The sequence below is a fragment of the Homo sapiens genome, chromosome 19 (assembly GCF_000001405.40).
Source record: "Homo sapiens chromosome 19, GRCh38.p14 Primary Assembly".
Lineage (NCBI taxonomy): Eukaryota > Metazoa > Chordata > Mammalia > Primates > Hominidae > Homo > Homo sapiens.
In genome coordinates, this window is record NC_000019.10 from 44,774,977 (window position 1) to 44,801,627 (window position 26,651).

At 53.6% G+C, this 26,651-nt stretch overlaps 1 protein-coding gene across 8 annotated transcripts, besides 4 other annotated features; it reads left to right on the plus strand.

The window, feature by feature from the left end:
* On the plus strand, positions 2,893-25,676 carry CBLC (Cbl proto-oncogene C). Of its 8 annotated transcripts, NM_012116.4 has the most exons (11): positions 2,914-3,308; positions 5,929-6,075; positions 6,231-6,387; positions 7,394-7,515; positions 9,288-9,425; positions 15,028-15,115; positions 17,407-17,538; positions 18,498-18,644; positions 19,228-19,305; positions 25,405-25,474; positions 25,575-25,676. In NM_012116.4, exons 1-10 carry the CDS (start codon positions 2,956-2,958, stop codon positions 25,465-25,467), a joined length of 1,425 nt encoding a protein of 474 aa, NP_036248.3. In that variant the 5' UTR covers positions 2,914-2,955; the 3' UTR covers positions 25,468-25,474; positions 25,575-25,676. The 8 variants fall into 8 exon arrangements, with proteins under 8 accessions (NP_001124324.1, XP_011524990.1, XP_011524991.1 ...); NM_001130852.1 differs by lacking the exon at positions 9,288-9,425 and having other exon boundaries at positions 2,893-3,308; positions 25,575-25,670; XM_011526688.3 differs by lacking the exons at positions 25,405-25,474; positions 25,575-25,676 and adding an exon at positions 25,203-25,385 and having other exon boundaries at positions 2,893-3,308.
* Positions 9,686-9,755: an enhancer, noted in NCBI's record as "active region_14771". NCBI's record gives its function as "activates an Ori minimal core promoter by ATAC-STARR-seq in GM12878 lymphoblastoid cells {active_cell/tissue: GM12878}" and the evidence as "EXISTENCE:reporter gene assay evidence [ECO:0000049][PMID:35858748]".
* Positions 9,766-9,815: an enhancer, noted in NCBI's record as "active region_14772". NCBI's record gives its function as "activates an Ori minimal core promoter by ATAC-STARR-seq in GM12878 lymphoblastoid cells {active_cell/tissue: GM12878}" and the evidence as "EXISTENCE:reporter gene assay evidence [ECO:0000049][PMID:35858748]".
* Positions 23,323-23,523: a silencer, noted in NCBI's record as "peak3507 fragment used in MPRA reporter construct". NCBI's record gives its function as "represses an SCP1 promoter by STARR-seq MPRAs in K562 erythroleukemia cells {active_cell/tissue: K562}" and the evidence as "EXISTENCE:reporter gene assay evidence [ECO:0000049][PMID:32103011]".
* Positions 25,462-25,511: an enhancer, noted in NCBI's record as "active region_14773". NCBI's record gives its function as "activates an Ori minimal core promoter by ATAC-STARR-seq in GM12878 lymphoblastoid cells {active_cell/tissue: GM12878}" and the evidence as "EXISTENCE:reporter gene assay evidence [ECO:0000049][PMID:35858748]".

Sequence of the window (26,651 nt, forward strand, 5' to 3'; positions counted from 1 at the left end):
TTTTTGAGACAGTCTCGCTCTGTCGCCCAGGCTGTAGTGCAGCAGCATGATCTCAGCTCACTGCAACCTCTTCCCCCCGCCGGGTTCAAGCGATTCTCCTACCTCTGCCTCACAAGTAACTGGGATTACAGGCACACCACTATGCCCAGCTAATTTTTGTATTATTTTAATTATTTATTTATTTATTTTTATTTATTTATTTTTGAGATGGAGTCTCACTCTGTCACCCAGGCTGGAGTGCAGTGCTGCAGTGTTGGCTCACTGCAACCTCTGCCTCCTGGATTCAAGCGATTCTCCCGCCTCAGCCTCCTGAGTAGCTGGGACTGCAGGCACGCAACACCATGCCCAGCTAATTTTTGTATTTTGAGAAAGGGGGTTTTGCCATGTTGGCCAGGCTAGTCTCCAACTTCTAACCTCAAGTGATCCACCCACCTCAGCCTCCAAAAGTGCTGGGATTACAGGCATGAGCAACTGTGCCCAGCCTAATTTTTGTATTTTTAGCAGAGATAGGGTTTCACCATGTTGGCCAGGCTGGTCTCAAACTCCTGAACTCAAGTGATCCACCCGCCTTGGCCTCCTAAAGTGCTGGGATTACAGGCTACAGGCATGAGCCACCACACCCGGCCCAATCTATTTATTTATTTTATTTTTTTATTTATTTTCTTTTTGGTCGTTTTTTAATTTAAAGAAAAATTTTAAGATTTTCAATTCCTACGAGATGGGGGTGGGGCTAAGGAGGGGCTCAGGGTGCATTGGGAGGTTCGGCTCTCATCCTATGCCCCCTACCCGCCGACCTCAAAGGACTTTTGAGAATTCAGTGTGCCAATGTTTGCAAAGCATTACACACAGGGCCTGATAGACAGCAAGCATTCAATAAATGCTAGCTATGGCCGGGTGTAGTGGCTCATGCCTGTAATCCCAGCATTGTGGGAGGCCCAGGCTGGAGGATTGCCTGAGCTCAGAAGTTCAAGACCAGCCTGTGTAACACAGTGAGACATCATCTCTACTAAAAACTAAAAAAAAAAAAAAAAAATAGCCAACGTGGCAGTGCATGCCTGTAGTCCTAGTTACTAGGGAGGCTGAGACAGGAGGACCACTTGAGCCCCAGAGGTCAAGGCTGCAATGAGTGGTGATCCAACAACCACTGCACTCCAGCCTAGGAGACAGAGCAAGACCCTGTCTCAAAAAAATAAAATAAAATAAAATAAAAGTTAGTTATTACTATTATTCTCTGATTCAAAGTTCTCTAGATATGTGCACATTTGCGATCAGAACTTGGCCTGGTCTGACCAGGCATGGTGGCTCACGCCTGTAATCCCACCTCTTTAGGAGGCCGAGCAGGCAGGATTGATTGAGCCCAGGAGATCCAGGCTGCAGTGAGCTATGATCAGGCCACTGCACTCCAGCCTAAGCAACAGAGCAAGACCAAGCAAGACCCTGTATCACAGGAAAAAAAAAAAAAAAAAAAGAACTTGGCTTGGCCTAGGATGGGGCGCGGCCAGAATGCCTTGCTTAGGGGCGAGGCCCACAGCGCCCCGATGGCTGCCCAGCGAGCAACTGAGCAACCAGGCTGATGTTACAGGTTCTACAGGTTGGGTGAAAGCCACGCCCGGCCACCCCTACACAAATGAGTTGCTCCCCGCCCCCACAGTCTTGAACGCCATCCTCCCGCCTGGCTTCTTCGGGACTCAGGAGTATCTTAACTCTGGCCTGATTTCTCCCATGCCACACCATTAGGGGCACCCAGAAATCTTGTTGCCAAATTCCTGCCCCCTCAGACACCCACTTTCAAACCCTTGCTTCTAGGGAACCCAAGGGCCTGGTGGCTCTGTGCCTCCTTCCTCGGAGACAGAGAGAGAGCAATGCCTCCCTGACCGGTTCCTCCTTGAAATCTCAGTTATCTGACCTTTAATCCCATGCCACGACCAAAGACCCATACCTTCGACAAGGCGCTGTGTCCAAGTCCCACCTCTCGGTAGCTCCCAGCCCTTCCCCTCCCCTCTCCAAGAAGAGTCCCGTGGCAGGGCAAAATGGCTCACGCCTGTAATCCCAGCACTTTAGGAGGCCGAGGCGGATGCATCGCTTGAGCTCAGAAGTTCAAGACCAGCCTGGGCAACATGGTGAGACCCCGTCTCTACTAAAAATACAAAAAATAAAATAAAATAAAATAGCCAGGACTGCTGATGCGCGCCTGTGACCCCAGCTACTCAGGAGGGTGAGGTGGGAGGATCACTTGAGCCTGGGAGACAGAGGTTGCAGTGAGCTAAGATCTCACCACTGCACTCCAGCCTGGGTGAAAAAGCAAGACCCTGTCTCAAAAAAAAAAAGTCCCAGGCCTCCCCTAGCCCCTTGCCCCTCTCTGAAGGGACCCAGATATCCTACCTGCACTTCCCACCCACACACTGAGAAGCCCCCTCCTACCGCTACCCACCAAAGCCACCCCACCCTGCTCCTTTTTGAGAATCAAACTCAAACCGCACCAGCTAATTTTTTTTTCTTTTTTGTATTTTTAGTAGAGACACGGTTTCACCATGTTGGCCAGGCTGGTCTCGAACTCCTGACCTCAGGTGATCCGCCTGCCTCGGCCTCCTAAAGTGCTGGGATTACAGTTGTGAGTCATCGCGCCCAGCCACATTTTATTTTATTTTTAAAAATTTTTTAGAGATAGGGCCTCACTATGTTGCCCAGGCTGGTTTTGAACTCCTGGGCTCAGGTGATCCTTCCACCTCGGCCACCCAAAGTGCTGGGATTACAAGCATGAGCCACCGCTCCCGGCCTCCAAATCCCACCTCTTGAAGACCCACGTGCCAGGTCCTCCAGCCCCCGCCCCCTTTGGAGACACTGGTACCTGCAGGCCCCTCCCCGGTTCTCTAGGACCCGCCCTCTCCTTTCACTCTGGGCGAGGCCGCCCCTATCCCAGCCGCACCGGTCCTTCCCGGCACACGCGAGGCTCCCATGGCTCTGGCGGTGGCCCCGTGGGGGCGACAGTGGGAAGAGGCCCGCGCCCTGGGCCGGGCAGTCAGGATGCTGCAGCGCCTAGAAGAGCAATGCGTCGACCCCCGGCTGTCCGTGAGTCCCCCTTCGCTGCGGGACCTGCTGCCCCGCACAGCGCAGCTGCTTCGAGAGGTGGCCCATTCTCGGCGGGCGGCCGGCGGAGGCGGCCCCGGGGGTCCCGGCGGCTCTGGGGACTTTCTACTCATCTACCTGGCCAATCTGGAGGCCAAGAGCAGGCAGGTGGCCGCGCTGCTGCCTCCCCGGGGCCGAAGGAGTGCCAACGACGAGCTCTTCCGGGCGGGCTCCAGACTCAGGTGAGCCTTCGCCCCAGAACAAAGTCCTCTGGGGTGAGGCCCAGGTCTTGCTCCCAGCCCCTCCTCCCCCAGACCCAGGAACTTAGGCCCCCACCCCCTCCTCCCTCAGACCCAGGAACTCAGGCCCCCACCACCTCCTCCCTCAGACTCAGGGCTCCAGCCCCCAGCCCCTCCTCCCTCAGACCCAGGGGTCCAGGCCCCAGCCCCTCCTCCCTCAGACCCAGGAACTCAGGCCCCCACCCCCTCCTCCCTCAGACTCAGGGCTCCAGCCCCCAGCCCCTCCTCCCTCAGACCCAGGGGTCCAGGCCCCAGCCCCTCCTCCCTCAGACCCAGGAACTCAGGCCCCCACCCCCTCCTCCCTCAGACTCAGGGCTCCAGCCCCCAGCCCCTCCTCCCTCAGACCCAGGGGTCCAGGCCCCAGCCCCTCCTCCCTCAGACCCAGGAACTCAGGCCCCCATCCCCTCCTCCCTCAGACTCAGGGGTCCAGGCCCCCAGCCCCTCCTCCCTCAGACCCAGGGGTCCAGGCCCCAGCCCCTCCTCCCTCAGACCCAGAAACTCAGGCCCCCATCCCCTCCTCCCTCAGACCCAGGGATCCAGGCCCCAGCCCCTCCTCCCTCAGACCCAGGGGTCCAGGCCCCAGCCCCTCCTTCCTAAGGGAACCTGGAAAATGGGCCACCCAGTTTTCTCCTTCCTTGGGCACCCATGCCCTCAGCCCGATTTTGCCATTTCCTTGGTCACCCAGCAGCCCAATTCTGGTTCCCACTATCCCACTATCTCAGAATTCAGGGACCCCATGGGGTTTCCTACACTGAGGATAAAATAAAAGTTAGCTATTACTATTATTCTCTGATTCAAAGTTTTCTAGATGTGTGCACATTTGTGATCAGAACTTGGCCTGGTCTGGCTGGGTACGGTGGCTCACACCTGTAATCCCAGCTCTTTGGGAGGCCCAGCTGGGAGGATCAGGCCTCAGAATGTGGAGACCCCATGGGCTCCTAGGTGGAGGAGAGGTAGATGGACACACCCAAAGAAACTGATCATTAGGCCCCCATCACGGTTTCTGCCTGGACTACCCACTTGGTCTTTAGTTCCTGAGGAACAGCTGGCTCCAGACCCAGGACCTGCCTGGAGGCCACCCCTCTGCTGTTCTGCACTGAGGAAGGAATCTCAGAGTGACCAGGCAGATGAGGTTTGGGGCCCAGAGCCCAGAACAAGGTCTAGTTCAGGGACCCATGCCACTTCTTTATATTAAATATTTTGTAGTGTCTCTTTTTTTTTTTTTTTGGACACAAGGTCTGGCCCTGTCGCCCAGACTGGAGGGCAGTGGCACCATCATGACTCACTGCAGCCTCCAACTCCTGGGCTCAAGTGATCCTCCCACCTCAGCCTCCCATGTAGCTGGGACCACAGGCGTGCACCACCATGCCAGACTAATCTTTTTATTTTTTGGTAGAGAGGAGGTCTTGCTATGTTGGCTAGGCCGGTCTCAAACTCCTGGCCTCATGCGATCTTCGTACCTCAGCCTCCCAAAGTGCTGAGATTATAGGTGAGAGCCACCATGTCCAGCCAAGTGTTTCCTTAATTCATCCTGAGAGGACATGCAGAGGTTCAACAACCTACCCACCTATAGTTTTTTAATCACTATAATGCCCAAATTATAAGAGAGTGATCAAAGGAATTTTTTTCATAAATATTATCTATGTTTTAAATGAAAATGCCAAGGCACAATTATTCTTGGAAGGCAGAGCTGACTAGTCAGACACTCGTACCTGTAGGTAGAACCACTGTCATACAGAATCAAATAGTCTTCCCTTAATATATAGGAGAGCTGGATTTCTGCAAAATTCAGCGTAATTTTTTTTTTTTTTTAGACATGGTCTCACTCTGTTGCCCAGGCTGGAGTGCAGTGGCGCAATTTTGACTCACTGCAGCCTCTGCCTCCCATGTTCAAGCAATTCTCCTGCCTCAGCCTCCCAAGTAGCTGGGATTACAGGCACCCGCCACCACGCAGCGATAATTTTTATAGTTTTTATTAGAGACAGGGTTTCACCATGTTGGCCAGGCTGTTCTCAAACTCCTGACCTCAAGTGATCCACCCACCTCAGCCTCCCAGAGTGCTGGGATTACAGGCATGAGCCACTGCTTCTGGCCAAAATCTAATAAAAGCCATGTATATCGTTTTTAATTTTTTTTTTTTTTTTTTTTTGAGATGGAGTCTTATTCTGTCATCCAGGCTGGAGTGCAGTGGCGTGATCTCAGCTCACTGCTACCTCTGCCTCCCGGGCTCCAGCGATTCTCCTGCCTCAGCCTCCTGAGTAGCTGGGATTATAGGCGGGCGCCACCACGCCAGGCTAATTTTTGTATTTTCAGTACAGACAGGGTTTCACCATGTTGGCCAGGTTGGTCCCAAACTCCTGACTTCAAGTGATCCACCCACCTCAGCCTCCCAAAGTGCTGGGATTACAGGCGTGAGCCACCACGCCCAGCAGGAATGGACTCTTACCTTACACTGTTGAGATAGAGTCCAGAGCCTTATCCCTGCAGGTGTTCCCCATGAGGGGAGGAAGAGGGTGTCAGTGGGAGCCCCAAGGATAGCCAGAGTCCTTGCCCATCCCCACAGGCGACAGCTGGCCAAGCTGGCCATCATCTTCAGCCACATGCACGCAGAGCTGCACGCACTCTTCCCCGGGGGAAAGTACTGTGGACACATGTACCAGCTCACCAAGGCCCCCGCCCACACCTTCTGGAGGGAAAGTTGCGGAGCCCGGTGAGTAAGCCCTTGTCCTCAGCTCCCGGAGCCCCATCCTGCCCTGGCCCAGGGACCCAGGGGTCCAGGCCCACAGCTGCTTCTTTCCTGGAGACCCTCCCATCATAGGCTCTGGGAGGCCTCAGCGGTGTCTCCCCCACCCCTCTCCCACCCAGGTGTGTGCTGCCCTGGGCTGAGTTTGAGTCCCTCCTGGGCACCTGCCACCCTGTGGAACCAGGCTGCACAGCCCTGGCCTTGCGCACCACCATTGACCTCACCTGCAGCGGGCACGTGTCCATCTTCGAGTTCGACGTCTTCACCAGGCTCTTTCAGGTCAGGGAAGGCCAAGGCTGGGAGCTAGACTTGGGTCCAGGAGGAAGTAGAGGGCTGAATCCTGGATTCCTGGGTCTGAGGGAGGAAGGGCCGGGACCTGGACTCCTGGATCTGAGGGAGGAGGGGCCGGGGCCTGGACTCCTGGGTCTGAGGGAGGAGGGGGCTGGGACCTGGACTCCTGGGTCTGAGGGAGGAGGGGCTGGGGGCCTGGACTCCTGGGTCTGAGGGAGGAGGGGGCTGGGGACCTGGACTCCTGGGTCTGAGGGAGGAGGGGCCGGGGACCTGGACTCCTGGGTCTGAGGGAGGAAGGCCTGGGGCCTGGACTCCTGGGTCTGAGGGAGGAGGGCCTGGGGCCTGGACTCCTGGGTCTGAGGGAGGAGGGCCTGGGGCCTGGACTCCTGGGTCTGAGGGAGGAGGGGGCTGGAGACCTGGACTCCAGGGTCTGAGGGAGGAGGGGGTGAGGGCCCGGACTCCAGGGTTTGAGGGAGGAGAGGGCGGGGGGCCTGGACTCTTGGGTCTGAGGGAGGAGGGCCTGGGGCCTGGATTCCTGGGTCTGAGGGAGGAGGGCCTGGGGCCTGGACTCCTGGGTCTGAGGGAGGAGGGGCTGGGGCCTGGACTCCTGGGTCTGAGGGAGGAGGGGCTGGAGACCTGGACTCCAGGGTCTGAGGGAGGAGGGGCTGGAGACCTGGACTCCTGGGTCTGAGGGAGGAGGGGCTGGAGACCTGGACTCCAGGGTCTGAGGGAGGAGGGGGTGAGGGCCTGGACTCCAGGGTTTGAGGGAGGGGAGGGCTGGGGGCCTGGACTCTTGGGTCTGAGGGAGGAGGAAGCTAGGGTCCCAAACTCCTGAGTTCTGGAGAAAGAAGAGCTTGGGGTCTTGTAAAAGGGATATGCCTGAGGCCCACCATGGGTGTGAAGGAGGTGGTTGGATCCTCGAGCCCTAGGGACTACTTAGGGATGTGAGCTGCTTCCCTGGTCGCTCCCTGACCCAAGCCCTGCCCCACCCCAGCCATGGCCAACACTCCTCAAGAACTGGCAGCTCCTGGCAGTCAACCACCCAGGCTACATGGCCTTCCTCACCTATGATGAGGTCCAAGAGCGTCTGCAGGCCTGCAGGGACAAGCCAGGCAGGTAAAGGGTCCAGGGCTCAGCAGAACAAGGCTGCAGGGCTCAGGGATCTGGGCTCTGGGCTGGTGCGTGGTGGAGCCCAGATGTCCTTCCAAGAGTGGGAACAGAGGTACCCAGGACCCCAGAGAGTTGATAACTCAGAGGCAGGACACTGAGTGCCCCTCCCAGCCCGCCTCTTCTCTCGAGGCCTCCTGTACTGTCCCATAATCCTGCAGCTAAGGGACAGTGCCCGCTCTAGCAAGGAGCCCAAAGACCCGCTTGAGGGTAAGGTCCGTTTCTGGTAGGTCAGAGTCATGTTGTACCATCTGTTCAGTATTTTGAGTATGAATTTCCCACCTGTTGGCATAGGAGACTGAAAAACAAGACATGAGAGTCCTTAAATTATTTCAACCAGGAGTTTTGAGCTGTTGGGTCCCCCTAGAGGGCTGAGAATTGAGCTGTCTAGATACCAAGAGAAGAGAAGGTCAGGTTTGTGAGTCTCTGCAGGGCTGAGGTGCAGGGGTAGGACGGTGAGTGCGTTAGCATTCTTCCAGTTACACTTCAAACTTATTTAAGGGAAAAGAAAAAGGAAAGAATAAATTCCTATAATTGAAAAGGCCAGGCCCCGCACAGTGGCTCACACCTGTAATCCCAGTACTTTGGGAGGCCGAGGCGGGCAAATCACTTGAGGTCAGGAGTTCGAGACCAGCCTGGCCAACATGGTGAAACCTCATCTCTACTAAAAATACAAAAATTAGGCCTGGCGCAGTGGCTCACGCCTGTAATTCCAGCATTTTGGGAGGCCGAGGTGGGTGGATCACCTGAGGTCAGGAGTTCAAGACCAGCCTGGCCAACATAGTGAAACCCCATCTCTACTAAAAATACCAAAAATTTAGCCAAGCGTGGTGGCGTGCACCTGTAATCCCAGCTACTTGGGAGGCTGAGACAGGAGAATCACTTGAACCCAGGAAGTGGAGGTTGCAGTGAGCCAAGATCACGCCATTGCACTCCTGCCTGGGCAACAAGAGTGAAACTCCATCTCAAAAAAAAAAAAAATACAAAAATTAGCCTGGCATGGTGATGCGTGCCTATAGTCCCAGCTACTTGGGAGGTTGAGGCACAAGAATCACTTGAACTCGAAAGGTGGAGGTTGCAGTGAGCCAGGATCCCGCCACTGCACTCCAGCCTGGGCAACAGAGCAAGACTCTGTCTCAAAAACAAAAAGGAAGAAAAGAAAAGAAGCCTAGGGTGTGGGTTTCAGGCACAGCTAGATCCAGGTGCTCAATGGCTACTGTCAGGAATCAGTTCCTGTTCATCCCCTTTCTCTGCTTTCCTCTGTTTGCTTCATTCTCAAACATGGTTTCTCCTCATTGTGGCAAATGACTTCTAGAAGTCCCAGCTGTGTACCCTACCTTCTTAGCAACCTCTGTAAGAAAGGGGGCACCTTGCTCTGACACTTGCAGCGAAAGTCCCAGAACGGACTCCCATCACTGTGGTCAGGGGTCCTGAAATGCACTGATTGGCCACCCCAGCCTTGTTTAAACTCCAGTGAAGCGAGGAGAGATCTCCAAATGGAATCAGGGCTGTTTTTATCATAAAAGAGCCAAGCAGGCAAAAACAGCATATATCCCCTAGAGAGGCAGGCAGGGGTCTAGCACATGCCGTTGCCTAGAGGATGGGAAGCTGGGGGTGAGGACCTAGACACCTGGATTCCCAACAGGCCAGGGGACTGGAAGTTCACAAAAGGGATGGCAGTGACCACTCCCTCACCCCATCCTACCTACCTCTCCCTCCAGTTACATCTTCCGGCCCAGCTGTACTCGCCTGGGGCAGTGGGCCATCGGCTATGTGAGCTCAGATGGCAGCATCCTGCAGACCATCCCTGCCAACAAACCCCTGTCCCAGGTGCTCCTGGAGGGACAGAAGGACGGCTTGTGAGTCTCCATTCTGGTAGGAGGAGGGTGTCAGCAAAATCTGGTTGGAAAGATCTTGCATGTTGTGCACTGCCGGTGGCCACCACGTTTGAGGGTGCAACCATTCACATAGGGGACATCTCAAATCTGCAGTACTACAAAATTCCAGCAGGTGGCAGTCAAAGGTCTTGAGGAAGGGGCGCCTCTGAGGGTCGCACAAAGTGGCCATAGATCGGGCCCAGCCACAGCTCCGAGGAGAAGTGTGTGGGGCATTGGGCACAACCGCAAGGGCTCCATTCCTTGGAACTGAGCTCAAGAGCGTTTGCTTCTATTTTCTTCCTCTTTTACTTTAGTTAATTTTTAAAAAATGAGATGGGGTTTCGCCATGCTGCCCAGGCTGGTCTGGAGCTCCTGGGCTCAAGCGATCTTCCTGCCTCGGCCTCCCAAAGTGTTGAAATGACAGGCGTGAGCCACCGTGCCCAGCCAGCTTTTGTTTCTAGATATGAGATCCTGCTCTAGAATCTAGATTGATGGGGCAGAAACAGAACTGGAGAACTTGCTAGACAGGTGTTTTTTTTTTTTTTTTTTTTTTTTTTTTTTTTTTTTTTTGAGACAGAGTCTTGCTCTGTCGCCCTGACTGGAGTGCAATGGCATGATCTCGGCTCACTGCAACCTCTGCCTCCCAGATTCAAGCGATTCTCCTGCCTCAGCCGCCTGAGTAGGTGGGATTACAGGCACCCACCACCACACCCGGCTAATTTTTTGTGTGTGTTTTTAGTAGAGACAGGGTTTCACCATGTTGGTCAGGCTGGTCTCGAACTCCTGACCTCATGATCCACCCACCTCGGCCTCCCAAAATGCTGATTACAGGCATGAGCCACCATGCCCGGTCCTAAGTTTTGGATTTTTAATAGAGATGGGGTTTTGCCATGCCAGGCTGGTCTCAAACTCCTGACCTCCAGTGATCTTCCCTTCTCGAACTCCCAAAGTGCTGGGATTACAGGTGTGAGCCACTGTGCCCGGCCAGGAAGACAGGTTTCTTTTCAGAGTTTCACCTTTAGCCAGAATTTTCTTATCAGTCATATCTATATGACTACTGACATACAAGAGAGGAGATAGGAAGGTAGGTAGCTAGCTAGATAGTCAGATAGGTAGATAGATAGATAGATAGATAGATAGATAGATAGATAGATAGGCAGATAGGTAGATATGCTGTTGATTATTTGCAATAATTATTATTAATTTTTTAATATATAATTTTTTTAACATTTTTGGTGGGGCACGGTGGTTCACGCCTGTAATCCCAGCACTTTGGGAGGCCAAGGCAGGCGGATCACCTGAGATCAGGAGTTCAAGAACAGCCTGGTCAACATGGTGAAACCCCATCTCTACTAAAAATTAAAAAAAATTAGCTGGGTGCAGTGGCGTGCACCTGTAATCCCAACTACTCCAGAGGCAGAGGCAGAATTGCTTGAACCTGGCAGGTGGAGGTTTCGGTGAGCTGATATCACGCCACTGCACTCCAGCCTGGGTGACAGAGCGAGACTCCATCTGAAAAAAACAAAACAAAAAAATTTTATTGTATATTTGGTAGAGATGGGGGTGGGGTGTGGCTCACCATGTTGCCTAGGCTGGTCTCGAACTCCTGAACTCAAGCAATCTGCCCGCCTCACCCTCCCACAGTGCTCAGATTACAGGTGTGAACCACACGCCTGGCCAATTTATAGTAATTATCTTCTATAAAATCACCACACACCCTGAATTATTGAATATCAAGCCGTTGCTCCCAGGGGAAATACATTCTTGGGTCCTGAGTAGCTAGGACTACAGGTGCACGCCACCACGCCCGGCTGGGTCACCACATTTTTGTCAACCAGTCACAACATAGTAACCTTTATGTATGTTTTCGTTTAAAGACACTTTATTCAAGGCCGGGCGCAGTGGCTCACACCTGTAATCCCAGCACTTTGGAACACCGAGTCGCGCAGAACACGAGGTCAGGAGATCGAGACCATCCTGCCTAACACTGTGAAACCCCGTCTCTACTAAAAACACACAAAAAAAATTAGCCGGGCGTGGTGGCGGGCACCTGTAGTCCCAGCTACTCAGGAGGCTGAGGCAGGAGAATGGCGTGAACCCTGGAGGCGGAGGTTGCAGTGAGCCGAGATCGTGCCACTGCACTCCAGCCTGAGCGACAGAGCAAGACTCCGTCTCAGAAAAAAAAAAAAGAAAAAAAGAAAAAAAAATTGACACTTTATTCAGTACCTATTGTTGGTTCGCTAACATTGAACTCACAACCAACAGCAGTATAACTTGTGTCTCAGCAAAGCTTATACAACACACACGTTTTCTCCATAAGACACATCACAGCCTTCTTTCACTTAGGAACAGGAGACAACACTTCAGCTACTCTTGGGGACCATTTAAAACAGAAAAATCAGAGGCCGGGCATGGTGGCTCATGCCTGTAATCCCAGCACTTTGGGAGACTGAGGCAGGCAGATCACTTGAGATCAGGAGTTCGAGACCAGCCTGGCCAACATGGTGAAACCTGGTATCTAGCCAGGCATGGTGGTGTATGCCTATAATCCCAGCTACTCAGGAGGCTGAGACGAGAATTGCTTGAACCCGGGAGGTTGAGGCTGCAGTGAGCCAAGATCACGCCTCTGCATTCCAGCTTGGGTGACAGAGTGAGATTCCATCTCAAAAACATAAAAATAAAGTCAATCATAAGCTGGGCGCAGTGGCTCACGCCTGTAATCCCAGCACTTTAAGAGGCTGAGGTGGGTGGATCACCAGGCCAGGAGATCGAGACCATCTTGGCTAACACGGTGAAACCCTGTCTCTACTGAAAATAACAAAAAATTAGCTGGGCGCAGTGGCGGGCGTCTGTAGTCCCAGCTACTCAGGAGGCTGAGGCAGGAGAATGGCGTGAACTCGGGAGGTGGAGCTTGCAGTGAGCCGAGATCGCGCCACTGTACTTCAGCCTGGGTGACAGAACCAGACTCTGTCTCAAAAAATAAAAATAAAAATAAAATAAAGTCAATCGTAGAAGTCCCTTCTTATTGGGTGTTTATGCACAGAGGAGGACGCTGCATTTAAAATTTTTTTCTAATTTAAAAAATTTATTTGCACCGGGCACCCAGCAAAGTGCTGGGATTACACGGTGGCTCACACGTGTAATCCCAGCACTTTGGGAGGCCGAGGCGGGCAGATCACCTGAAGTCAGGAGTTCAAGACCAGCCTGGCCGACATGGTGAAACCCCGTCTCTACTAAAAATACAAAAATTAACCAGGCATGGTGGCAGGCGCCTGTAATTCCAGCTACTTGGGAGGGTGAGGCAAGAGAATTGCTTGAACCCGAGAGGCAGAGGTTGCAGTGAGCCGAGATCACGCCATTGCCCTCCAGCCTAGGGCACAAGAGTGAGACTTCATCTCAAAAAAAAAAAAAAAAAATTTATTCGCCAAGCATGGTGGCTCATGCCTGAAATCCTAGAACTTTGTGGGAGGATCACTTGAGCCCAAGAGTTTGAGACCAACCTGGACAACATAGTGAGCCCCCATCTCAATAAAGAGAAAAAAAGAAAAAAAAAATTAGTTACCGACAAGGTATCACTATGTTGTCCAGGCTGGCCTCAAACTGCTGGGCTCAAGCGACCCTCCCTCTTCGGCCTCCCAAAGTGCTGGGGTTACAGGTGTAAACCACTGCACCTGGCCAGCGCTTCATGTTTCTTTTGGTGGTTCTTTTTTTTTCTGTGACAGGGTCTCACTGTCACCCAGGCTGGAGTGCAGTGACATGAACACGGCTCACTGCTGCAGCCTCGACCTCCCAGGCTCAGGGGATTCTCTCGCTTCAGCCTCTCCTGAGTAGCTGAGACCACACGCACATGCCACCATGCCCAGCTAATTTTTTTAATTTTTTTTTTTTTAGACATAGTGTCTTTCTGTGTTGCCCAGGCTGGTCTCGAACCCCTGGGCTCAAGCAATCCTCCCGCCTCAGCCTCTCAGAGTGCTGGGATTCAGGCATGAGCCACTGCTCCCAGCCAGGGCTGCATGTTTTATAAGCACTGTCTTTCTTATTTATTTATTTTTAAAATTTCTTTTTTTTTTTTTTTTTTGAGACAGAGTCTTGCTGTGTTGCCCAGGCTCGAGTGCAGTGGTGCGATATCCATTCACTACAATCTCTGCCTCCTGGGTTCATGAAATTCTCCTGCCTCAGCCTCCCAAGTAGCTGTGATTACAGACACGCACCTCCATGCCTGGCTAATTATTATTGTATTTATTTATTTATTTTGCTATTTTTAGTAGAAACGGGGTTTCACCATGTTGGCCAGGCTGGTCTCAAACTCCTGGCCTCAAATGATCTGCCTGCCTTGGCCTCCCAAAGTTCTGGGATTACAGGTGTGAGCCACTGTACCCGGCCAGCACTGTCTTATTTAATCCATCACAAATCTTTGCCTCAGGCATGATCATGTCCATGTTACAGAAGGGGAAACTGAGGCCAGAAAGGTCGAGTGGCCCCAGCCAGGTCACACAGTGTGTTAGTGAGAGAGCCACTGTGGGGCCCAGGTCAGGGATCCTGCACTGCTCCACATGACAGGCCAGGCAGGGCCACTAGCCTCAGGGAGTCTGAGGGTCCAATATTTCATGTGCTATACATGTCGGAATAACTGGAGTAGCATTGAGGCATGCCAGATAGGCCGAGGAAATGATCCAGGGGGAGACCCAGGGAGCCCAGAGCTTGCTTCTCCGGTGTCCTGGAGCCCAGTGCTGAGATCTCGCCTACAACCCTGGTTCTCGGTCTCTCTGGTCCTTGCTGTGTGACCTTGGGCAAATGCCTTTCCCACCCTGAGCCTTGGGTCACTGTCTGTGAGGGAAGAAGTGGTACAGGTGCTCTCAGAGGATCTTTCCATCCTGATATTATCAGATTCTAGGATTTGATCACTTTCATGATCTGTGACACTAAAATCTGTTATGCTTGGGCGTGGAGAAGGGTGAGGTTCTAGAAGAGCTAAGCCAGAGATTTTCCCTTTTTTTTTTTTGAGACAGAGTCTCACTCTGTTGCCCAGGCTGCAGTGCAATGGCATGATCTTGGCTCACTGCAACCTCTGCCTCCTGGATTCAAGCAATTCTCCTGACTCAGCCTCCTGAGTAGCATGCACCACCACGCCCAGCTAATTTTTATATTTTCAGTAGAGACGGGGTTCCACCATGTTAGCCAAGCTGGTCTTGAACTCCTGACCTCAGATGATCCACCCACCTCGGCCTCCCAAAGTGCTGGGATTACAGGCGTAAGCCACCACACCTGCCCTAAGCCAGAAATTTTCATATCGTTTTCTGGTTCTTAGTCTATCTCATCCTTGTTTCTGGAGCTTGAGTCACTGAGGTTTTGTGTGCCCTACCTTGGGAGTCTGAGGGGACATAGCCCTGCCCTGGGGTATCTGAGAAGACACAGTCCCAATTAGAGGTGGGTGGAGGGAAAATAAGCCCAGGCCAGCAATGGATTTGGGACAGATCCTCAACTCAGGGAAATATGGGGCCCTGTAGGGGGTAAAGGTACTTGTTCATCTGGGGGTGGGAAATACTGGATGGCCCCCCAGTCCCCCTCTCTTCCCTTCCCCCAGCTACCTCTACCCAGATGGAAAGACCCACAACCCAGACCTGACTGAGCTCGGCCAGGCAGAACCCCAGCAGCGCATCCACGTGTCAGAGGTGAGACCCGCACCTGCACCCGCAGTCCCAGTTCCCTGACCCTGCCACCCCCACGTTGCCTTGGCTCAGAGGCCTGGGGTTGGAATGTTGGCTTGGTGGCTCTGTGACCTTGGGTAAATCACTTGACCTCTCTGAGGCTCAGTTATTCTTCCGGAAAATACGGCTCCTCCTGCCTCTTTCCCAGGGGTGATCACGGGGATTAAATAAGGAACTGATGCTGCTGAGATCATCAGGACAGCTAATGCATTCGAGCATTTGCCAGCAATAGCCCCGTGCCAGCTCCTAATCTTCACAGCCACCCTACGAGTGAGAAAAACAACAATAACAAATAAATAATTTATTTTTTATTTATTTTTATTTTTAGAGACAGAATCTCTTCTGTCGCCCAGGCTGGAGTGCAGTGGTGCGATCATGGCTCACTGCAGCCTCGACCTCTGGGCTCAAGCAGGCCTCCCACCTCAGCCTCCCGAGCAGCCAGGAGTACAGGTGTGAGCCACTGCACCCAGCTAATTTTTGTATTTCTCTGTAGAGATGGGGTTTCGCCATGTTGCCCAAGCTGGTTTTGAACTCCTAGGTTCCAGCAATCCTCCCGCCTCCACCTCCCAAAGTGCTGGGATTATAGCCATGAGCCACTGTATCTGGCCCTAAATTTTTTTTAGTATAAATATATCCCGTGCAATATTTGGGACATCCTTATACTTCAAATTGTATTCACGGTTTACATGAAATTCAAATTTGGAGGCCGGGTGCCACCGCACCCATAATCCCAGCACTTTGGTAGGCCGAGGCCGGCAGATCACCTGAGGTCAGGAGTTCAAGACCAGCCTGGCCAACATAGTGAAACCCATCTCTACCAAAAATACAAAAATTAGCTGGGTGTGGTGGCTCACACCTGTAGTCCCAGCTGAGGCACTTGAGTTGGGAGGCTGAGGCACGAGAATCACTTGAACCCAGGAGGCGGAGGTTGCAGTGAGCTGAGATCACACCATTGCACTCCAGCCTGGGCAACAGAGTGAGACTTGGTCTCAAGAAAGAAAAAAAAAAAGAAAGAAAGAAATTCAAATTTAGGTTAGGCACAGTGGTTCATGCCTGTAATCCTAGTACTTTGGGAGGCTGAGGCGGGTGGATCACTTGAGCCTGGGAGTTGGCGGTTGCAGTAGGCCAAGATTGCGACCCTGCACTTCAACCTGGGTAACGGAGTGGGGCTCTGTCCCGCAAAAAAAAAAAAAAAGAAAGAAAGAAAAATAATGAAATTCAAATTTAGCAGCATCAGCATCCAATACTTTTATTTGCTAAATCTGGCACCACTGGGTGTAGACAACTGGGGAGAAGAAGTCTCATAACAAGGAGTGAAGACATGGCCGGGCGAGGTGGCTCACGCCTGTAATTCCAGCACTTTGGGAGGCCAAGGCGGGCAGATTACTTGAGGTCAGGAGTTCGAGACTAGCATGGCCAACATGGTGAAACCCCATCTCTACTAAACATACAAAAATTAGCCAGGTATGGTGGCTTATGCCTGTAGTCCCAGCTACTCAGGAGGCTGAGGCACAAGAATCGCTTGAACCTGGAGGCAAAGGTTGCAGTGAGCCAAGATCGCGCCACTGCACTCCAGCCTGGGCAACAGAGCAAGACTGCGTCTCCAAAAAAAAAAAAAAAAAATGAGTGTAGACATGTAGGAGGCCATTGGACATGCCAGCCTTGGACTTAGGAGAGGGTTCAGTTCTGGCACAGAGGTTTGGTTTATTATTTTTTTTTTAAATAGAGACGGGGTCTTACTATGCTGCCCACGCTGGTCCAGAACTCCTGGGCTCAAGCATTCCACCTGCCTTGGCCGCCAGAAGTGCTGGGATTACAGGCATGAGCCACAGCGCCAAGATAGAGGAGGTGTGGGATTTTCTTTCTTTCTTTTTTTTTTTTTTGAGACGGAGTTTTGCTCTTGTTACCCAGGCTGGAGTGCAATGGTGCAATCTCAGCTCACTGTAACCTCCATCTCCCGGGTTCAAGCGATTCTCCTGCCTCAGCCTCCTGAGTAGCTGGGACTACAGGCATGCACCACCATGCCCAGCTAATTTTTGTATTTTTAGTAGAGACGGGGTTTCAACATGTTGACCAGGCTGGTCTCGAACTCCTGACCTCAGATGATCCCCCTGCCTCAGCCTCCAAAGTGCTGGGATTACAGGCGTGAGCCACCACAACCAGCCGAGGTTTGGGATTTTCTTCCTGTGGCCCAAGTTGTGTCCCCGTGGCTGACGCATGCCCCTCGCTGTCTTCTCTATCCTCTCACCTGCCAGGAGCAGCTGCAGCTCTACTGGGCCATGGACTCCACATTTGAGCTCTGCAAGATCTGTGCTGAGAGCAACAAGGATGTGAAGATTGAGCCGTGCGGGCACCTGCTCTGCAGCTGCTGCCTGGCTGCCTGGCAGGTGGGTCTGACCCCTGTGGCGCCTTCCCCTCTGGTCTCCCCCTCTCTACAGGGAAAGCCCCAAAAGGATCTCCATGCCTCATTGATCATATGGGGAAACCGAAGGCCAGAGAGGGCAAAGAGCTGATGGCAACCACTCAGGAGCCCGGCTGTCTTTCCCAGGGCCTCTGGTTCCATCCCACTCTGCACACGCTGCCTCTGTTTCTCCCTCTCCGGCAATGTTATCAGTGGAAAGCTCTCCTTCCTTCTCTGCCTAGGTGATCCCCAGCCAGTGGCTTCACGTCTCTGAGCCTTAGCCTCGTCCCCTGGAGAACGGGGCTGAGAATAGTGACCTCCCAAAGGCCACAGTGAGGCTGGGCACGGTGGCTCACGCCTGTAATCTCAGCACTTTGGGAGGCCGGGGTGGGTGGATCACTTGAGGTCAGGAGTTCGAGACCAGCCTGGCCAACATGGTGAAAACCCGTGTCTACTAAAAAAAAAATACAAAAATTAGACGGGTGTGGTGGTAGGGGCCTGTAATCCCAGCTGCTCGGGAGGCTGAGGCATGAGAATCACTTGAACCTGGGAGGCAGAGGTTGCAGTGAGCAGAGATCGTGCCGCTGCACTCCAGCTTGGGTGACAGAGCGAGACTCCGTTTTTTTAAAAAACAACAACAGCAAGGGCCACCTGAGGGTCTGAGCCTGGAAAGGCCTGGCCCGGAAGCTGTGGCCACAGCTCCATGGGGATCCCTGGCCTGTGTGCCCCCTCCTGACCTCGGCTCTGGTTCCGTTCCTCTCTCACCTTCCCTCCCAGCATTTCCCTCCACATTCCTCTGCTCTCCACGACTCTTCTCTCCTTCCGTCTCCCTTCCTCTGTCTGTCTTCCCCACATCAATCTTTTGGGCGGGGAGCTCCTCGTTGGCCCAAGGGACAGGATGGAGAGCAGGGGAGCACTGACCCTTTCCCTCCCGACCTCCCCCAGCACTCGGACAGCCAGACCTGCCCCTTCTGCCGCTGCGAGATCAAGGGCTGGGAGGCCGTGAGTATCTACCAGTTCCACGGTCAGGCTACTGCTGAGGACTCAGGGAACAGCAGTGACCAGGAAGGCAGGGAGTTGGAGCTGGGGCAGGTGAGCAGGGCCAGCCGGGAGCTGGAATCCAAATTCCTGAGGCCTGAGTGGGGAGGGACTGGAGCCTGGACTCCTGGGTCTGAGGGAGGAGAGACTGGGGGCCTGGACTCCTGGGTCTGAGGGAAGAGGGGTTGGAGCCTGTACTCTGAGTCTAAGGGAGGAGGGCTGGGGGTCCTGGACTCCTGGGTCTGAGGGAGGAGGGGCTAGGGGCCTGGACTCCTGGGTCTGATGGAGGTGGGTATGGGGACCTGGACTCCTGGGTCTGAGGGAGGAGAATATGGGGGCCCGGACTCCTGGGTCTGAGGGAGGAAGAGCTGAGGGCCCACACTCCTGGGTTCTAGGAGAGGAGGGGGCTGATAACAAGATTCTCAGGTCCTAGGGAACTGGTCTTTTGCTTCCCCAAGGGCTGGGGCTGTGGCTTTCCCTGGCTGTAACCCTCCTAAGTGTTCATACGTTGTCTTGGTCTCTGTTATATCTTGAGTCTAGAACAGTGCCTGAATGCTGAGTCCCAGGCAGGAGAACATGGAGGCGAGAAGAAAATGGCAGCTCACAAGCCCCTTCTCCTTCCTCTGTCCCACCCCAGGTGCCCCTTTCGGCTCCTCCATTGCCCCCACGGCCAGATCTGCCCCCCAGGAAGCCCAGAAATGCCCAGCCGAAAGTGGTGAGTCAGGCGCTGGTCTGAGGTTGGGGGCTGGGGTCTCACTCACCTCCAGGGTCCCTGGTTCACCTGTGCACTCAGGGGTGCCAGGGCAGGGACTCATCCTTGGCACCCATTTCCAAGGCACCCATCCCCTCTGTGACCTCTTCCCTTGTTTTCATTCCCCCTCTGGGACTTTCTTTTTTTTTTTTTTTTTTTTTTTTTGAGACGGAATCTTGTTCTGTCGCTCAGGCTGGAGTGCAGTGGCGCAATCTTGGCTCACTGCAACCTCCACCTCCCGGGTTCAAGAAATTCTCCTGCCTCAGCCTCCTGAGTAGCTGGGATTACAGGCACCCACCACCATGCCCCGCTAATTTTTGTATTTTTAGTACAGACAGAATTTCACCATGTTGATCAGGCTGGTCTAGAACTCCTGACTTCATTATCTGCCCCCCTCAGCCTCCCACAGTGCGGGGATTACAGGAGTGAGCCACTGCGCCTGGCCTCAAGGACTTTCTAGCTCTCCTTCCAGCATCCCAGATGTGTCCTACCTCGGGGCCTTTGCATAAGCTGTTCCCTTGGCCTGCACAGTCTTTCCTGAGGCTTGCTTTCCCATCCCTTTTCAGGGAGGCCTTCCCTGACCACTCTGTTCAAGATAGCACCCCTAGCTGGGGTGGTGGCTCATGCCTGCAATCCCAGTACTTTTTTTTTTTTTTTTTGAGAGGAGTCTCACTCTGTAGCCCAGGCTGCAGTGCAGTGGCATAATCTCGGCTCACAGCAACCTCTGCCTCCCAGATTCAAGCAATGCTCCTGCTTCAGCCTCCTAAGTAGCTGGGACTACAGGCACCCACCACCATGCCCGACTAATTTTTGGATTTTTAGTAGAGACGAGGTTTTGCCACATTGGCCAGGCTGGTCTCAAACCCCTGCCCTCAGCTGATCCACCGCCTTGGCCTCCCAAAGTGCTGGGATTACAGGCATGAGCCACCATGCCCGGCCTGCAATCCCAACACTTTGGGAGGCCAAGGCAGGAGGACGGCTTGAGCCCAGGCATTTGAGACCAGCCTGGGCAACATCACAAGACCCCAACACTACAAAAAAATTTTAAAATTAGCCCAAAGTGGTGGCGCACACCCGTAGTCCCAGCTGCTCAGGAGGCTGAGGTGGGAGGGTCCCTTGATCCCAGGAGTTGGTAGCTCCAGTGAGGCGTGATCACACCACTGCACTCCAGCCTGGGCAACAGAATGAGACCCTGTCTCTAAACCAATAAAAAAAAAGAGTCTGTAATCCCAGCTGTTAGGGAGGCAGAGGCAGGAGGAAAGCTTGAGCCCAGGATTTTGAGACCTTTCTGGGCAATATAGCGGAACCCCGTTCTCTAAAAAAAAAAAGAAAAGATGAAAATAGCACCGCTGTCCCTCGGGGCCCTGCTCTGCTGTATGTTCAAAGATCTTTCGCCACCCGGCAGAGCTTAGGGTTGGTTTTGTCGGCTTTTATCACTGTCAGGTTGCAACCTTCCTGCAGGTCAGGCCTTTGTTGTCTTCTCCGTCATATCTCCAGAGTGCAGAACAGTGCCTAGCACACATACACGTCATAGGTGCTCAATAAATAGATGCCAAATGAATACACTGAAGTGAGTCTTCCCAACAGCCCTATGAAGTCAAAAGTGTTCCTCTCCCGGCTGGGCGCGGTGGCTTATGCCTGTAATCCCAACATTTTGGGAAGGTGAGGCAGGTGGATCACTGAGTTCAGGAGTTCGAGACCAGCCTAACCAACATGGTGAAACCCTGTCTCTACTAAAAATGCAAAAATTAGCTGGGCGTGGTGGCGCACACCTGTAATCCCAGCTACTTGGAAGACTGTGGCAGGAGAATCGCTTGAACCCGGGAGGTGGAGGTTGCAGTGAGCCAAGATCGCGCCACTGCACTCCAGCCTGGATGACAGAGGGTGAGACCCTGTCTCAAAAAACAAACAAACAAATGAATGTTCCTCTCCCCATTTTCCAGAGGAAAAAAGTTCAGAGAGGTGACAGTACCTGCCCAAAACCACACAGCCTGAAAGAGGAGAAGTCAGCGTTGGAGTCTTTAAGGCCCCCAAACCATCTACTTATTTTTTTGTTGTTTCTTTGTTTGTTTGTTTTTCTTTTGAGATGGAGTTTCACTCTTGTTGCCCAGGCTGGAGTGAAATATTATGATCTCAGCTCACTGCAACCTCCGCCTCTGGGGTTCAAGCTAATTCTCCTGCCTCAGCCTCCTGAGTAGCTGGGATTACAGGCAGGTGCCACCACGCCTGGCAAATTTTGTATTTTTTAGTAGAGATGGGGTTTCTCCATGTTGGTCAGGCTGGTCTCGAACTCCCAACCTCAGGTGATCCGCCTGCCTCGGCCTCCCAAAGTGCTGGGATTACAGGGGTGAGCCACCGCGCCCGGCCTACTTATTTTTTAATAAGCCCTGTCCTGGCTTTCTTTTCTCCCTACGCTGCCACCCCAGGATTTTTGGGACCCTGGATTGCTGGGGAGAAGCAGATCTCTTAGTATCTCCGGCTGAGTACACACAGGCTTCGATCAATACTGAGCTGTCTTCAAACAAACAGCTCAGGAAGTCCGGGAACATTATTCGACCACAGCAAACAAGAGAGCCAGCAGGAAGCGGGGCGGTGGGGGGGAGGGTGGCGGTGAAACCAGCCAGGGAAGCTAAAAACAGATCCAACCTGCCGCCAAAAGCAAATGGAAACATTAGGAGGCACTCAGCCGGCTCCCAGAGGACAGTGATGGGGGACACAGCCAGGACAGCAGGCTGACAGGGACCTCGGGCCTGATGGTGACACCTTTGCCTAGGCCATACCCTCCGCCTCCCCCACCCTTTCCTCCTCTCCCCAAACCCTGCCTGATTAAAATTCCAGTCCACTCCCACCTAGTCTTTCATTCTTCAAAACATACCACAGAAGAGACAGCCTTGGGTTTGTTACTTCTCAGCAAGGCACTGTCATAACTTTTGTTGTTGTTGTTGTTGTTTGAGATGGAGTCTCACTTTGTCACCCAGGCTGGAGTGCAGTGGCACGATCTCAGCCCATTGCAACCTCCGCCTGCCAGGTTCAAGCGATTCTCCTGCCTCAGCCTCCCGAGTAGATGGGGTCACAGGTGCTCACCACCATGCCTGGCTAATTTTTGTATTTTTAGTAGAGACAGGGTTTCATCATGTTGGCCAGGCTGGTCTTGAACTCCTTACCTCCGGTCATCTGCCTGCCTCGGCCTTCTTAAGTGCTGGGACTACAGGAGTGGGCCCCGCCTGTCATAACTTTTGCTATGTGCCTGGCATTGCTTTTTTTTTTTTTTTAAGATGGGGTCTCTGTCTAGCGGAGTGTGGTGGCGTGCACCTGTAATCCCAGCTACTCAGGAGGCTGAGGCAGGAGAATCGCTTGAACCCAGGAGGCAGAGGTTGCAGTGAGCCAAGATAGCGCCATTGCACTCCAGCCTGGGCGACAGAGCAAGACTCCATCTCAAAAAAAAAAAATAGGGTCTCTGTCAGCCAGGCTGGAGTGCAGTGGTACAATCACAGCTCACTATAGCCTCAATCTTCTGGGCTCAAGTGATCCTCCCTCCTTAGCCCCCAGAGTAGCTGGGACTACAGGTGCCTGTCTCCACACCCGAATCATTTTTAAATTTTTTGAGCAGTGAGGCTGGGGCTGCTGTGGACACTGGATGTGATGGGACTGTGTCAGTGGTCAGTGTCACCGTGGTTGTGATCTGTGTATGGTGCTGTGGCCCCTGGGGTTGCTGTCTGCACGCTGCTGTTCTCCATCTGAGAAACCTCCCTTTAGGGGACGACACTGCCATTGAGCTGGATCTCATCACCCCACTGACCACTGAGGACCTCTCTGACCCTCAGTGTTTTCATGGGGAAAATGGGGACCAGCCTGACACAAGCCCCACAGGCTGGGTTTTTTTGTTTGTTTGTTTGTTTGTTTTAATGTTTTAATTTAATTAGAGACAGAGTCTCACCGTGTTGCCGAAGTTGGTCTCTAACTCCTGGGCTCAAGTCTCCCAAAGTGCTGGGATTGCTGGCATTAGCCACTTCGTCTAGCCTCCCCATGAGTTTTGATGAAGCCAGCAAGCTCAGTCATCTCTAACCTGAGTCATATCCCCTCCCTCACCTCTCAGAAATCTCCACTGGCAGCCAAGCGCGGTGGCTCACACGTGTAATCTCAGCACTTTGGGAGGCCGAGGTGGGCAAATCCTTTGCTTGAGGTCAGGAGTTCGAGACCAGCCCGGCCAACATGGTGAAACCCCGTCTCTACTAAAAAATACAAAAATTAGCTAGGCGTGGTGGCGGGCACCCGTAATCCCAGCTACTCGGGAGGCTGAGGTAGGAGAATCGCTTGATTCTCGCTTGATTATCGCTTCCGCCAGGAGGTGGAAGTTGCAGTGAGCCAAGATTGTGCCACTGCACTCTAGCCTGGGCGACGGTGCAAAAACTCCGTCTCAAAAAGAAAGAAAGAAAGAAAGAAATCCCCACTGGCTCCCCAGGGCTCTAAGAACTCAAGCCAAAGTCCTCTCCGCCGCCCAAAGACCTGGGGCTGGGGATCTGACTCTTCCCCACCTCTCTGATCTCCCCTACTCCACCTCCTTTCCGGCAACATTGGACCCTTGCTGCTCTTCTAACTTGCCAGCAAGCCTCCACTCACTCGGAGCCTCTGTCTGGATCCTTCTTGCACTCAGGCATCAGCTGGGTCATTCCCATCTCCAAGAGGCCTCCCCGGCATCTTCCCTCTCCCAGGCACTTTGAAGGACATGGAACTTGCTCTGGGACATTTCCTTGTTCAGGAGCTGATCAGTCACTGCGAGCCTCGGGTTCAGTGGAGCATCAGCTCCACCAGGACAAAGATAGTTTTCTGTCTTGTTCACAGCTGTCTTCTCAGAGCGAAAAACAGGGCCTTGGCCTGGCGCGGTGGCTCATGCCTGTAATCCCAGCACTTTGGGAGGCTGAGGCAGGAGGATGGTTTAAGCCCAGGAGGTCAAGGCTGCAGTGAGCTATGGTCCCATCACTGCACTCCAGACGAGGCAACAGAGCGAGACCCTGTTTTGCTTTGTTTTGTTTTGAGACAGTTTCGCTCTTGTTGCCCAGGCTGGAGTGCAGTGGTGCAATCTTGGCTTATGGCAATCCCCACCTCCTGGGTTCAAACGATTCTCCTGCCTCAGCCTCCCAAGTAGCTGGAATTACAGGAATGTGCCACCACCCCTGGCTAATTTCGTATTTTTCATAGAGACAGGGTTTCACCATATTGGCCAGGCTGGTCTCAAACTCCTGACCTCAGGTGATCCACCCACCTCGGCCTCCCAAAGTGCTGGGATTACGGGTGTGAGCCACCGCGCGTGGCCCCTGTTTTTTCGGTTTGTTGTTGTTGTTGTTGTTGTTTTTAAAAAAGAAAGAAAAGTAAAGAAAGAGAGAGAGAAAGAAAGGGAGAGAAAGAAGGAGGGAGAGAGAAAGGAAAGAGAGAGAAATAGAAAAAGAAAGAAAGGGAGGGAGGGAAAGAGAAAAAAGAAAGAAGGAAGGAAGGAGAGAGCGAGAGAGAAAGAAGAAAGAAAGAAAAGAAAAGAAAGAAAAAGAAGAAAAAAGAAAGAGAAAAGGAAAAGAGAATAAAAGAAAGAAAGGGCCTGACCCACTGGAGAGGCTTGGGAACTGTCTGTGGGGCACACAAGTGAGCAGAAGGGTGGACACATGGATGGACAGGCGGACAGACAAACTGAAACTTCATCCTACACGAGTTAGAGGTGAGAGGGAAAAGGCAGCATGGACTAGGGACAAGGCCAAAGGTCCTGTCAGATGGTGGCCGCCACCACTGTGTCACCCCTGTCCAGGGCCTGTGAAAGGACGTCCACCCAGGCTGCAGCCTAGCAGAGACATTTCTTCATCTCCTCCCCCCAGGCACTTTTGGCCCTCCCCAGACTTCGGGCCCCTCTTCTCTTGCCAAGAATTAAGGCTGTGGCCTCAGCCGCGCAGGAAGCCACCTCCAGCCCCCAGGTGGTCTGGGACTCCCAGGTCTAAGACAAAGGGGACAGGGAAGAGGGGCAGAGGGAAAGATTGGATGCCGGGAATCAACCGCCCTCTCAAAATATCTCCATTGCAGAGACTCCTAAAGGGGAACTCCCCTCCAGCTGCGCTGGGACCCCAGGACCCTGCCCCGGCCTGAAGGCCAGGTGAGTCCATTCCCTAACCCTCCCTGGCCCACTCCACCCCACTCCACCCTCCTCCACCTGGAGGTGACCTCATCTAACCCACCCCTCTCTCCGCCTACAGGGCACCCAGATGTGCTGCTCAAGGGAGCCCCAAGGGCTGGAAGGGGGTTGTGAAACCGAAATAAACTGCCAAGCCTGGTCTGTCCTCCAGGGTGCAAAGGAAGAGTGCAGTGGCCAGCAGGGGGCAGCAGAGGGCAGCAGGCACTGGGAAAGGGCCGTCCCCAGGCCTGGTCCCCACCTGAACAACAGGAGTCCAGGCCCCAGCCCCTCCTCCCTCAGACTCAGGAGTCCATACTCCAGCCCCTCCTCCCTCAGACCCAGGAGTCCATACTGCAGCCCCTCCTCCCTCAGACCCAGGAGTCCATACTCCAGCCCCTCCTCCCTCAGACCCAGGAGTCCATACTCCAGCCCCTCCTCCCTCAGACCCAGGAGTCCATACTGCAGCCCCTCCTTCCTCAGACCCAGGAGTCCATACTCCAGCCCCTCCTCCCTCAGACCCAGGAGTCCATACTGCAGCCCCTCCTCCCTCAGACCCAGGAGTCCATACTGCAGCCCCTCCTTCCTCAGACCCAGGAATCCATACTGCAGCCCCTTCTCCCTCAGACCCAGGAGTCCAGGCCCCAGCCCCTCCTCCCTCAGACCCAGGAGTCCATACTGCAGCCCCTCCTCCCTCAGACCCAGGAGTCCATACTCCAGCCCCTCCTCCCTCAGACCCAGGAGTCCATACTGCAGCCCCTTCTCCCTCAGACCCAGGAGTCCAGGCCCCAGCCCCTCCTCCCTCAGACCCAGGAGTCCATACTGCAGCCCCTCCTCCCTCAGACCCAGGAGTCCATACTCCAGCCCCTCCTCCCTCAGACCCAGGAGTCCATACTGCAGCCCCTCCTTCCTCAGACCCAGGAGTCCATACTGCAGCCCCTTCTCCCTCAGACCCAGGAGTCCAGGCCCCAGCCCCTCCTCCCTCAGACCCAGGAGTCCATACTGCAGCCCCTCCTCCCTCAGACCCAGGAGTCCATACTCCAGCCCCTCCTCCCTCAGACCCAGGAGTCCATACTGCAGCCCCTTCTCCCTCAGACCCAGGAGTCCATACTGCAGCCCCTCCTTCCTCAGACCCAGGAGTCCATACTGCAGCCCCTTCTCC

Bases quoted from the DNA above. Each gene is read 5' to 3' on its own strand.
- CBLC (XM_011526688.3), top strand. From the start codon at position 2,956: ATGGCTCTGGCGGTGGCCCCGTGGGGGCGACAGTGGGAAGAGGCCCGC. The intron at 6,076-6,230 runs GTGAGTAAGCCC...TCTCCCACCCAG, and splicing joins AGGGAAAGTTGCGGAGCCCG to GTGTGTGCTGCCCTGGGCTG. The intron at 18,645-19,227 runs GTGAGCAGGGCC...GTCCCACCCCAG, and splicing joins GGGAGTTGGAGCTGGGGCAG to GTGCCCCTTTCGGCTCCTCC.